Source organism: Homo sapiens, chromosome 12 (assembly GCF_000001405.40).
Source record: "Homo sapiens chromosome 12, GRCh38.p14 Primary Assembly".
NCBI classification, from domain to species: domain Eukaryota; kingdom Metazoa; phylum Chordata; class Mammalia; order Primates; family Hominidae; genus Homo; species Homo sapiens.
This window is the reverse complement of record NC_000012.12, coordinates 94,583,902-94,596,299: the sequence shown is the minus strand read 5'-3', so window position 1 is coordinate 94,596,299 and position 12,398 is coordinate 94,583,902. Positions and strand designations below refer to the sequence as shown.

Here is a 12,398-nt window from a genome sequence, read left to right as displayed (position 1 = left end):
GTCACCATAACTTATTTGATGCCTCCCCCTTTCAAATCTGCAAGGCAGAGCTAATGACATGGAGATATGAGGATTAAAGGAGAGTGTATATAAAGGTCCAGCCTTACCCTAGGGGCTATACATAGATGTACTCAAAACATCAGGATGGATGGACCTGCTGGAAAATGACTAGGATAGGACCCTGATCAACAGAGCCTTAAATTCTTTGTTAAGTATTTCACACTTTAGGGAACATTAAAGATCTTTGGGAGAGAACAGGGTATAATCTGATTTATCTTTTGAAAAGATGATTTTATTCAACCCAAGGAAATCAGTTTTTATGTTGAGGGCCTCATTTGAAGGCCGAGCACAACTTCAAAGTAAGGCTGTTTTTCTATGCCAGAAATACTGTACCAAAATATCGATTGAATGTACTTTTCATGGACATTTTTTTTTTCTTTAAGTGGAATGCTATATTATTTTGATACAACTAAAGGCAGCTTTTTAGTTCTAATTGCCATTTGGTGATAATACTGCTGGCATATATTAGAAAAAATAAAACTGTGCAAAATTAGCTTCAGCATTGCAAAAGGCGAAGAAATGACTGTTGATCAGTTTTTCTTCTACTCTTGAATAGCTACTTATTTCTAAGCCCTGTCTGATAGCTAGTAGTATTCTGATCCATTTATAAGAAAATTCTATACTGCAAATCATCCAGTACATGTTTTTCCCTCCAGTATTTGTTATACTACCAAAAAATAAATGAAACCCTCACCCTCAGAGAAAAATTTAATTATGAGGCTTGCATATGCTTTGGGAATGCACTTTGGGGCTCCAGTACCAAACGCTATTTCCTGGCTCAGTCTTACATAGCAACTTTTCAAAGGACATGAGCCAAGTTGTGACCATTATGTGGCTTTCTCTGGATGCTCTAGGAATGGGGATGGGGAAGTCGCAGTGCAGGTTCATGAGCTGGGTATGGTTGACCACATTCCCCCTATTAAACATAGGAATGCTGGTATAGTGTTCATCTCTGGGCAAGATGACATACCTAGCCTCTTAATAAGCAGGTTAAAGTATACCCACCTCTTTCCACTAAGATTATGATTATGATAAGACACATGGAAAATATAGTTAGAGTAGTGCTAATATCCAAAAGTCGAAAAAGAAGGGGAAAACATATAGGCTGATCACCAGATCTAACAGTTACTCTACGTTTGATTCTGAATTTCCTAGCATCCGAGGCAAAAAGGGAAACAATTATTGTTATCTGATAGATAACACTGCACACCCTTGTTATATTCACTTACTTATCTAGGAAGCTATACTTTAGGAGACAAGTTACTTTCCCTTTTGTGCAGGGTGCCTATAATGAACACAGCATGGCCTGATAGAGTTCGTTCAGGCTGGAGATGCCGAAAGACTCTGCAAGACAGGTGCTGGATTTGTAACTATCGTTTAGAAACTTACACTAAGTACAGGTCCCTTCTAAGAAGGCCCACCCTGTGTGTTTTAGGGGTAAGTGAGGTGGTGAATGAATGTGATGGGAAATGTAGAAGACTGGGCTGCCAGGGCAGGGCAGTAGGCAGACCCTCTGCTCCCAGGCTTGGCCTCTTTTCTCTGCTCTCTGACTAAGGGCCTCAGAGACTCGTTTTTCCTGGGGGCGGTTCTCCCAGAGTAAACTCGATATTCCCACATCCCCTTCCTTGCTGGCTTCCCCTCTTCCTGGGGAGGTTTTACTGACAGACACTGCCAGAAACCTATGGGAATGAACAAGCATGGATGGGAAATTTTCCAGAACTGCCCCCAAAAGACCTTAAGTTTAGTGCCTAGCAGCTCTTGCTCACCCCTTCTCTCCTTCTGAGTTAGGAACTAAAAGCTTCAGTGGACATTTGTTCTGTGTTTAGTCCTAAAATTAGGCCTGGTTCTGCCAGACACGGTGGCTCATGCCTGTAATCCCAACACTTTGGGAGGTTAGGGTGAGAGGATAACTTGAGCCCAGGAGTTCAAGGTTGCAGTGAGCTAGTGATGGTATCACTGCACTCCAGCCTGGGTGACAGAGTGAGAGACCTCTCTCTCTCTCACTCTGTGTGTGTGTGTGTGTATATATATATATATATATTTAAATTTAAAAGGCATGGTTCTTAGTTCCCAGGCCTGGAGAGGTAAGGGGCAGATATTAAATAAATGTACACTTCCCTTTCCCAAACTTGCTCGTTTTCAAGGTACACAGGGTCCCCAGAGACTCCCTGCTCCTCTTAGAAGTTGCCTTTTTTGGGTGTTGCCTCACATCCCTCCACAGTTTCCTCCCCAGGGACTGTGGCTGTCCTTGCCTTGCAATTGGTGCTCATGTAAGGTTGGTCTATTTTCATCACTGTAGCCTTCCCTTCTACTTTTCAAGGGACATTCTTGCTGAATCTGGCCTTTCTCCCCCTTTAATTCTTACGTAGATTTAGTACGTACAAATCTTTACCAGGTCAGACTAATTTTGTAAAGAATTAGTTTGTATTTATTGGAAGTGTGATTTATAAGCTGTTTTGAAGAAAGATACATTTTTTAAGTGCGTGTAACTCAAAGGAGATTACCACTGTTTCCTGGTAGAGGCTTAATGAGAAGATAATTATTTCTAATTACAGTATCAAGTGTTTGTGAGTGCTTGAGGATGCTTGAAGAATTTGTTTTTCAGAATCTTAAACACTGCCTAATCTCCTTTACACTATTAATTTGCAGTGTCTGGAGAAAGGACTGGGCCATGAAAGATATATGTATTCTAGCCCCTGTTCCAAATGATCCCTAATTCTAGAGTGACGAGATTTTACTTTACCAGCTCTCAGGAAATAGAATTCTTCTTCTTCTTCTTCTTCTTCTCCTTCTCCTTCTCCTTCTCCTTCTTCTTCCTTCTTCTTCTTCCTTCTTCTTCTTTCTTCTTTCTTCTTTCTTTTCTTTTCTTTTTTTTTTTTTAGATGGAGCCTGTTGTCCAGGCTTGAATGCAGTGGCACAGTCTTGGCTCACTGCAACCTCTGCCTCCAGGGTCCAAGTGATTCTCCTGCCTCAGCCTCCTGAGTAGCTGGGATTACAGGCACCCGCCACCATGCCTGGCTCTTTTTGTTTTTTCTTTTCTTTTGAGACAGAGTCTTGCTCTGTCTCCCAGGCTGGAGTGCAGTGGTGCAATCTCTGCTCACTGTAACCTCCACCTCCCAGGTGCAAGCGATTCTCCTGCCGCAGCCTTTCGATTAGCTGGGATTACAGGCACCTGCCACCATGCCTGACTAATTTTTCTATTTTTATTAGAGACGGGGTTTTGCCATGTTGGCCAGGCTAGTCTCGAACTCCTGAGCTCAGGTGATCTGCCCGCCTCAGCCTCCCAGAGTGTTGGGATTACAGGCATGAGCCACCGCGCCTGGCCGAAGATAATTATCTCTAATTACAGTATCAGGTGTTTGTGAGTGCTTGAGGATGCTTGAAGAATTTGTTTTTGAGACTCTTAAACACTGCCTAATCTCCTTTACACTATTAATTTGCAGTGTCTGGAGAAAGGATTGGGCCATGAAAGATATGTGTATTCTAGCTCCTGTTCCAAATGATCCCTAATTCCAGAGTAATGAGATTTTACTTTACCTGCTCTCAGGAAATAGAATTTTTTTTTTTTTTTTTTTTTTGAGATGGAGCCTGTTGTCCAGGCTCAAATGCAGTGGCGCAATCTTGGCTTACTGCAGCGGCGCAATCTTGGCTTACTGCAGCCTCTGCCTCCGGGGTCCAAGTGATTCTCCTGCCTCAGCCTCCTGAGTAGCTGGGATTACAGGCACCTGCCACCACACCCGGCTCATTTTTTTTTGCATTTTTAGTAGAGACAGGGTTTCACCATGTAGGCCAGGCTGGTCTCAAACTCCTGACCTCAAGTGATCCACCCACCTCAGCCTCCCAAAGTACTTAGATTACAAGTGTGAGCCACTGCGCCCGGCCGGAAATAGGATTCTTGAGGCTACAGAATTTCTTTTGTCAGTGATGCCAAGAGAGGAAGAAGGGGGGATGCGAGGAATAAAACCTTTATGGCAAAACTATTGACTCAGTTCCCGTGCTGTACACGGTGCACTTATTTAAAGTTCAGAGTGTGCTATTGTCAGACCTGAACTATGAAAGGAAATGTTCCTTGTCTAAACAAGTTAGAACAAACACTGTACTAAGACACTCTCCTAATAAAATGTCCTTCTGGATATCATATGAAGGTCCTTAAGATTTTTCCCCTCCAGCACACAGTGGGGGAAAGTGCAGCTTTCTTCTAGCAAATGTAGGTATTGAATATTCTGTGTAGGTGTCCCATGAAGGTAGTAATATGTTTCTAGTAACAGATAACAAGGAGCCTTATCCAGCCCCTGGAGTTATTTTTCTAGTATAGGTTAGCTCTGTTAGCAAGGATGCTGGGATCCGGTGGTTCAGTTAGCTTCCCTGTTCACTGACTCTGGCTAGACATTTTGCAAGTGCATGTCAAGTGTGACCCCAGGATAGCAAGAGGGAGATGGGCTAGGGGTATCTCTCATATATGTATATTTATTTATTTAGAGACAGGGTCTCCCTCTGTTGCCCAGGCTGCCAGGCTGGAGTGCAGTGGCGTGATTCATGCTCACTGCAACCTCCACCTCCCAGGCTCTTGACCCTCGTGCCTCAACCTCCCGAGTAGTCAGGATTACAAGTGCATGCCACCATGCCTGGCTAATTTTGGGTTTGTTTTTTTTGGTAGAGACAGGGTTTCACCATATTGCCCAGGCTGGTTTCGAAATCCTGGGCTAAAGCAATCTCCCCTCCCAAAGTGCTGAGATTACAGGTGTGAGCCACTGCATCCAGCCACTGTATCTTATATATTTCTTTTTTTTTTTCCTACGAGGAAACACCAATTTTAATTTAAAGAAAAAAAAAAATCAGAAATTGTCTGTAAGGATAACAGAGCAAAACAAGTCCTGAAAAAGAGCTCTGCATCTTGGTGGTCATATTTATTGAAGAGCTTTAGAAAAGTTAAAATGCCATTTAGCTTAAGAAGTTGTGAATTATCTGCAAATCAATTCATTTCAGGAGTGGGAGAATCCCCAGAATTATTTCTTAATATCAGAATGTATGCAGGTTTCTCTTTTGAATGCCTTGTACATTTAGAAAGGCTACTGTACGAAGTCTCGTATTTTCCATACAGGACAAATTGTTTCATCCAGCTGTCAATGGAGGGGCAACCAGCACGACCATCTCCCAGGACAAAGAGCATTGGAATATTCTGTTTCCTTGATTTATATATCTCTTCGTATGTTTCTTCATCAATTTCTATAGTAGTCGCGGTTTCTTCCTCATCTCCCAAGATCATATTTAAATGTTGATCATAAGCATGTGATCTGCCTTGAAGCTCTCGGTCATTTCTCATTTTCACATAAACTCACTCATCTAGGCTGAGCCCGATAACATCCAGGGGCTCCTCTCCAGTGTTGGTAGTTTGTTGCGGGTGCACATCGTCCCCCATGTTTCAGACCCTGCGCCGTCTCCCGCCTCTCCTGAGAACACAGGAGCAACTCCAGTCTCCGGAAGCGTGAGGACACAACCCCGCTTGTTTCTGATAGAAAAGCTCCTGTTCTTCTGGGAGAACACACAAAGGTACCCCACTGTGGGGCCATGCTGAGCCCCACATCGGTCTCCCAGCTGTATCAGCCAGCACAGAGAAGGGCACTCTCCCTTCCCTCCAGGCAGATCCAGGGCTTATCTGCTGTTTGCCTTTTCCCACATGGCCTCACTTGCTAGGCCCTTAGGGACAGGGCTTCTTTCTCCAGAGGTCCTTTATCTTTTATTTTTATCTTCTGTTTTTAATCTCATTCTCTCTCTCCTCTTAGTGATTGTAAATGCGTAGGCATTGTTCCAATACAAGCAGTAAGCTTTTTTATCTTCATAAAGTTATTTGGCCCAAATCACTGTTTATATTTTAGAATATGGAACAAAGTGGATCACTTAAAGCCAGGAGTACAAGACCAGCCTGGCCAACATAGTAAAACCCCATCTCTTCTAAAAAAAAAAAAAAAAAAAAAAAAATTAGCAGGGCGTGGTGGCACTCACCTGTAATCCCAGCTTCTCGGGAGGCTGAGACGGGAATCACTTGAACATTGGAATTTGCAGTGAGCGGAGATCGCGACACTGCACTCCAGCCTGGGCGACAGAGAGAGACTGTCTCAAAAAAAAAAAAAAAAGAATAGATTTTATAGACTATATCAGACCTGACTGATGTGGCTCCAGAGCTGTGGACACAAAGTTACAGCCACGATTATTTCAAGTTCAGCCTGAGGGAGAATTTTCTGACAGAGTAGTCTAAACGAAGCCCAGATTATCCATGCAATGGATGACCATGTTAAGGGCATTGCAGAGGTTCTCGCGGGATCTGGGGCTGAGCTGGTACAGATCTTGCTAAGTCTTGCATATTTCATAAACCTGAGTTGAGCCCCACCTAAGCTATTTATTATTCATGGGCTTCAAGAAACATACCCTTTACAAGTCTCGGTTTTCTCATAAAAGGGTTGGTGTGAAGAATATATGAATGCATTAAAAAATCTTTAGCACAGTGCCTGATTCACAATAAAAGTATTCAGTCATTTTTAGGCAGGTAGGCACTGGAGACAGACAGCCAGAATTTCCAGCCTGGCTCTGCCGGTTACTGGCTGTGTGCCCCCAGGCAATTTACTTAACTTCTCTGTGACTAGTTTATAAAATAGTAATAATAGTAGAACCTACCTCAGAGAGTTTTTAACAATTAAGAAAGGTACTACACATGTCACTAACATGATATTTTACCTCGTGGGCATGTAATAGGATTATACTCCCCTGTCCCCTAGAAGTTAGGTAGGGTCAGTGTAATGAGTTCTCTGTCTTTTAGAGAACGTCCAGACGGTAGAGGCCCCACCGTAACCTGGGTCCCCTCACTGACTCACAGCCAACTTTCTAGCATTTGCATGGAATAAGCCTTTCTTTTATAGCCACTGAGATTTTGACATTAATACGATGGCAAAGCCTAGCACATTCTGGGTGGCATATCATAGGAGCAGCCTAGACCAGGGGTTTCCAATCTTTTGGCGTCCCTGAGCTACATTGGAATAAGAAGAACTGTCTTGGGCCACACATAAAATACACTAACACTAACGATAGCCAATGAGCTAAAAAAAAACAACAACCTCATACTGGCCAGGCGTGGTGGCTCATGCCTGTAATCCCAGCACTTTGGGGGGCCGATGTGGGCGGATCACCTGAGGTCAGGAGTTTGAGACCAGCCTGGCCAACATTGTGAAACTCCATCTCTACTAAAAATACAAAAATTAGCTGGGTGTGGTGGCATGTGCCTTAGTTCCAGCTACTCGGGAGGCTGAGGCAGGAGAATCACTTGAACCCAGGAGGTGGAGGTTGCAGTGAGCCGAGATTGCACCACTGCACTCCAACCTGGGTGACAGAGTGAGACTGTCTCAAAAAAAAAAAAAAAAAATCTCATACCGATTTAAGAAAGTTTACGAATTTGTGTTGGGCTGCATTCAAAGCCATGCTGGGCCGTGGATTGGACAAGGTTGGCCTAGACTTTAGACCTGAAATAGAGTTCAGCTAAAGTGATTAATAGTAAAAAATGTCAGTGATACTGACTTACATACCAAGGCCACGAAGACTTGTAAAAGCCTTCAGGTATTGAACGTGCAGGTCCTTGTGGACCTATGCATAAATCTTCACTCACATGTACTTGGAAATACCTGTTGCCTTGGAAATGCCAGCCCATTTGAAGGATCTGACCCTTTTCTTGTAATGCCTGAGGCTCAAACAGCCTTTCTTTAAGCAAAGGTTCATTGTCTTCAGCCTTGAGACTAAGCAGGCCGTTGTCATCTGTCACATTGTTGTGATAGCTCTGCATCCCTACACATTGTGGCTACTCTGTGGCCTCCAGAACCTCAGAGGACTCCTGCCTCAGTCCCTGTCGTTCCAGGGTCCACAGGAGCCCTACATTCTGGTTCTGTTTGCTGGGGGGTGGGTGGTGTGCCTCTGTGTTGGTACCCTTCCTTTTTGGTTCATCTCCCTCTGGAGCTTTAGCGGGTTAATACAGAGTGTCCTGGGAGACAGCCTTCCGTGAATCCTGCACAGTGTGTCCAAGCCGCACTGGTGGTGACTGAGTTGCTGTGCCCGTGTCCGGTGAGTAAGGTGAGCTAACTTGGTGTGTTGTGCTGGAGGCCTGGTTCATTGCAGAGGTGGTGCAGGGTTAGATTTTGACGTCTGTCCGGGACTCAGGCTTTTCCTCAGCCTTTGTTCCAGAGCATTGGGGTGACAGTGGAAATGTCTCCAGTGCCGGAAAGAAAACACAATGAGGAATGGCGTTTCAGTAGGCGGATCTGCCTTTCATCTAAAGTAATAACAGCCAAGTATTCTGGAAGAATTGAAAGAGGCTAGCAGTCATTCTTAAAAGCAAAGTCTTTTCTGCCAAAACAGTAGTACATTTTATTTTTAAAAGACTTGAAAATACAAAAGAATGACCCCGCATAACCCCACGGTGCAAAGGTCAGCATTGTTAACACTTTGGAGTTTGTTTCCCTTTCAGTTTTTACATACATTTTTAAATGAAATTGAATTTAGGTACATTTTAGAATGAAATTGGAATGATAACAGTAACAAACATTTGTTGAAATCATTCAGTGTGCCAGGAGGTCACACTTGAAGAGGTGAACACTTTACATACATTTTCTCATTTATTCCTCACAACTCTTTGAAGAATCATTATGTCCATTTTCAGAAGTGAAACTGAGACACAGAGAGGCTAAGTCATTTTTCCAAGGTCCCACAGCTCTTAAGAGTGGTGCCAAGATGGAAACCAAAGCAGTCTGTTTCCGGAGCCCTTGGGCTTTTTATGATGCAGTACTGTCTCACAGTAATGATAGCTTGGATTACACTTGATGGAGTTGTGCAGTATTAGTTCTGAATTGTCTGGTTCTGTCTCCTTGTTCTATAGATTCAGAAATGGAAGCCCGTAGAGGTGACTCAGTTTACCCAAGAACACATACATAGTAAATGTCAGCGCCCAAACAGAAACACAGTGTCCTGATCCACACAGTGTACACTGAGTCTAGATAACCAGAAACCTTTGTCCTTCCTGCGTCCTAACCCTGAAACCAAGCTGCAATGTATAGTGTATTGTATAGGGTCAGTGCCAAGTCTGGATTAAACGAAGGGTGGAGGACTGGCAGCTTTCTTTTAGCACGCACATGTAATTTCAGTTTGTGTTCAGGGAATTTACAGGCATCTAACAATGATAGGTGTAGCTGTCTCTCAATTATCCCATGCAGTGCTAGCTAGGGTTATAAAAGGGCAAAAGGAGCAGCCCAGTAATAGTTCCAACTTTATACCCTCATCAAACATTTTTAACTGAGATTTGCTGACAAGCAGTAAGATCGATTGATTTGGGGCTTTAAATGCTGTTGCTTTCGCCAACCTGGACTCTTGAGAACATGCAAAGCATTGTTAAATCATAAAGTAAGCCAAAAGTCATTTGGCCATCTGTGCATAAACATTCCTGTGCATACAAGGCTGTCCTGTAACGAGAGGTCTGTGAGAGCATGAGGCTTTGCCTTGAGACTCAGAATTGGATGACCAGCCCTGATGCAGTTGAGAATTAAAGGAGTAAGAACAGGTGTTTATTTACTGCTCGGTTTGGTAAGGTAAAATATGAAAACCTTTCTACCTCTAGATGTTGTTGTGGACTTCTCAATAGAGAATGCCAGCCAGATTTTAAATAACTTCATCTCGTCTTATCTGTGAGCTCCAGGAGGGCAAAACCAAGTTCTTATGAAACTCACAAACAGTGCTGAGTGAAAAATGACAAGAAGAATACATGTATACAACAGGCAAAACTAATGTATGCGGTTTGAAGTGAGGATCATGGTTGCCCCTGGAGGTGGAGGTGATGTCGTTGAGATTGAAGGAGGGCACAAGGGAGGCTTCTGTTCTATTTCTTTAACTGGCTGCTGGTCACACAATGTGTTCAGCTTGTAAAAATTCATCGAGTACTTATTTCACTTTGTACTTATTACATGTGCTCTTTTCTGAGTATAAATTATGCTTCAATTAAAGTTTTAAAGTCCTTATTTGTATTTGTGTATCTTGTTGCACATTGATACTCGGAAAAAAATCTCTGTTTAGTTGAATCAGTTTCAAATGGTGCCAGATTTATTATCCAGGTATTGGGAAGCCATCTTCACCTGGAATTGTCAGGGCTATGCGAGCAGAACTTCTGAGGTGATTTTTTGGCTCAATGGAAAGGTGTCTTAAATGATTCCAGGGCAGACTCCTTGGAATAAAGAATGATGGCACTTTGGTTCAGTAGACAAACATTTATTGACAGCCTCCTAGGGAAGTACGTGAACTTCAAGTTAGGTACAGCTATGACATCATGCCTCCCCAAAGGAGCTTGCAGTCTGCAGGGGGTTAAAGTGCATGGGTGGTGATCAAAGGAGGAGTCAGGAAGTGCCACAAGACAAGCACAGAGCAACAGGCATGTCACAGAATGGAGAGGGGGTGTTCCACTGGGACTGGGAAAAGCTTCATGGCAGAAGGGGCATTTGAAATGGGTTTTGTTTGTTTGTTTGTTTGTTTGAGACGGTGTCTCGCTCTGTCACTCAGGCTGGAGTGCAATGGCTCACTGCAACCTCCACCTCCTGGGTTCAAGCAGTTCTCCTGCCTCAGCCTCCCGGGTAGCTGGGACTACAGGCACGTGCCACCATGCCTGGCTAATTTTTTTGTATTTTTAGTAGAGACAGGGTTTCACCGTATTAGCCAGGATGGTCTCGATCTCCTGACCTTATGATCCACCCGCCTCAGCCTCCCAAAGTGCTGAGATTACAGGCGTGAGCCACTGCGCCTGGCCCTTGAAATGGGTTTTAAAGAATACGTAGGATTTTGATAAGCATGAGTAAATGGGTGGCAGGCATTGTGAATATCATGCATATGAGAAAATCCATAGAAAATTCATATACATTCTGGGAATTTAGGTTGTAAGATATTCTTAAGGGGTCCTTCAGGTGAGGTGACGCCTGAAAGGTGGGCTAGGGCCTTATAGCCCTATAAGGTCCTTCCTAATGCCTGCTAAATGAAATGATGTGCCAGGTTATATTATTTCATTTAGTAGCCATTAGGAAGCCAAAGGAAGTTTCTAAGACATAGAGTAGCATGATCAGATATAATATCTCCAGCAAAATCAAATTTTTAGCCTCAGTGATTGTACAGTTACCATTAATTACCCATCTGCCCAAAATAAACATTTTCTAAGTTTCATGCATTCTCTGTTGCTATAATTTGAACCTGTTCCTGTTTGGGTCCACTAATGAGCCACAGATACTAGATTCCTTGAGCTTCCTGTGGTCGACCCTCTAGGACTTAAAGATTGTTGTATACCTTCTTTATTCCCTATCCCCATCCTTCCCTCTTGACCAGGTGAAGTCACAACTTCTTTATCCTTTTTTCATATATCCTGTTTTCTAGTCTTGTAGTGATTGGGCATTTATTTCCCTCCAGCTTTTCCTATATGGTGCTCCTCTGCCAGATAAAGCAACCAGTGTCTCTCCTTCATGACAAAATTGTGCATTGGAAGAGAGGGGCTAAGAGCTAATGCTAACGAATGTTTGTAAGTTGTGGAGGAGGCCTGACCCGCCCATCTAGGATGGTGTCCCACTGTGCTGCTGTGCTCCCTCCTCTGGAATAAAGCACTGGGCAGGATTTATAACGTGGTGAAGTGTTAATACCCGTTGTTGGATATGGTCCATATTCAAGTCTGGATCACCTAGAGCATTAGTCTGTTCTCACATTGCTATAAAGAAATACCTGAATCCTGATAATTTATAAGAAAAGAAGTTTAATTGGCTCACGGTTCTGCAGGCTGTGTACAGGAAGCATGGCTTCCTCTGGTTCTGGGGAGGCTGCGGGGAGCTTTTACTCATGGTGGAAGGCAGAGCGGGAGCAGGCACTTCCCACGGCGAAAGCAGGAGGATGCCTGCAAGAGACGGGAGGTGCTACACACTTTTAAACAACCAAATCTCAGGAGGACTCACTACCATGAGAACAGCAGCAGAGGGATGTTGCTAAACCATTCATGAGAAATCCGCCCCCATGATTCGATCACCTCCCACCAGGCCTCACCTCCAACACTGGGGATTACAATTGAACATGAGATTTGGATAGGGACACAGATCCAAACCATATCACTTAGTGGGAGATTCATTAATTTTTTACTAATTTTTTTGCTGTCAGCCCACTAATTCCTTAAAAAAAAAGGTAACATGCTGAATATTGTCTTGCTTCTCATTTGATTTCTATTAAGACTGTATATCAAGTCATTAATCTAATCAAAGGGATATTGACAAATGAGATGCTTCAGTTTGGAT

The 12,398-nt window shown here is 43.4% G+C and overlaps 1 protein-coding gene and 1 pseudogene across 2 annotated transcripts in view; one reads left to right on the top strand and one right to left on the bottom strand.

The window, feature by feature from the left end:
- The window catches only part of TMCC3 (transmembrane and coiled-coil domain family 3), an 83,436-nt gene that overhangs the window by 54,258 nt on the left and 16,780 nt on the right, over window positions 1-12,398 (top strand). The gene's annotated exons all lie outside the window — the stretch shown is intronic.
- On the bottom strand, window positions 4,855-5,521 carry LSM3P2 (LSM3 homolog, U6 small nuclear RNA and mRNA degradation associated pseudogene 2; annotated as a pseudogene).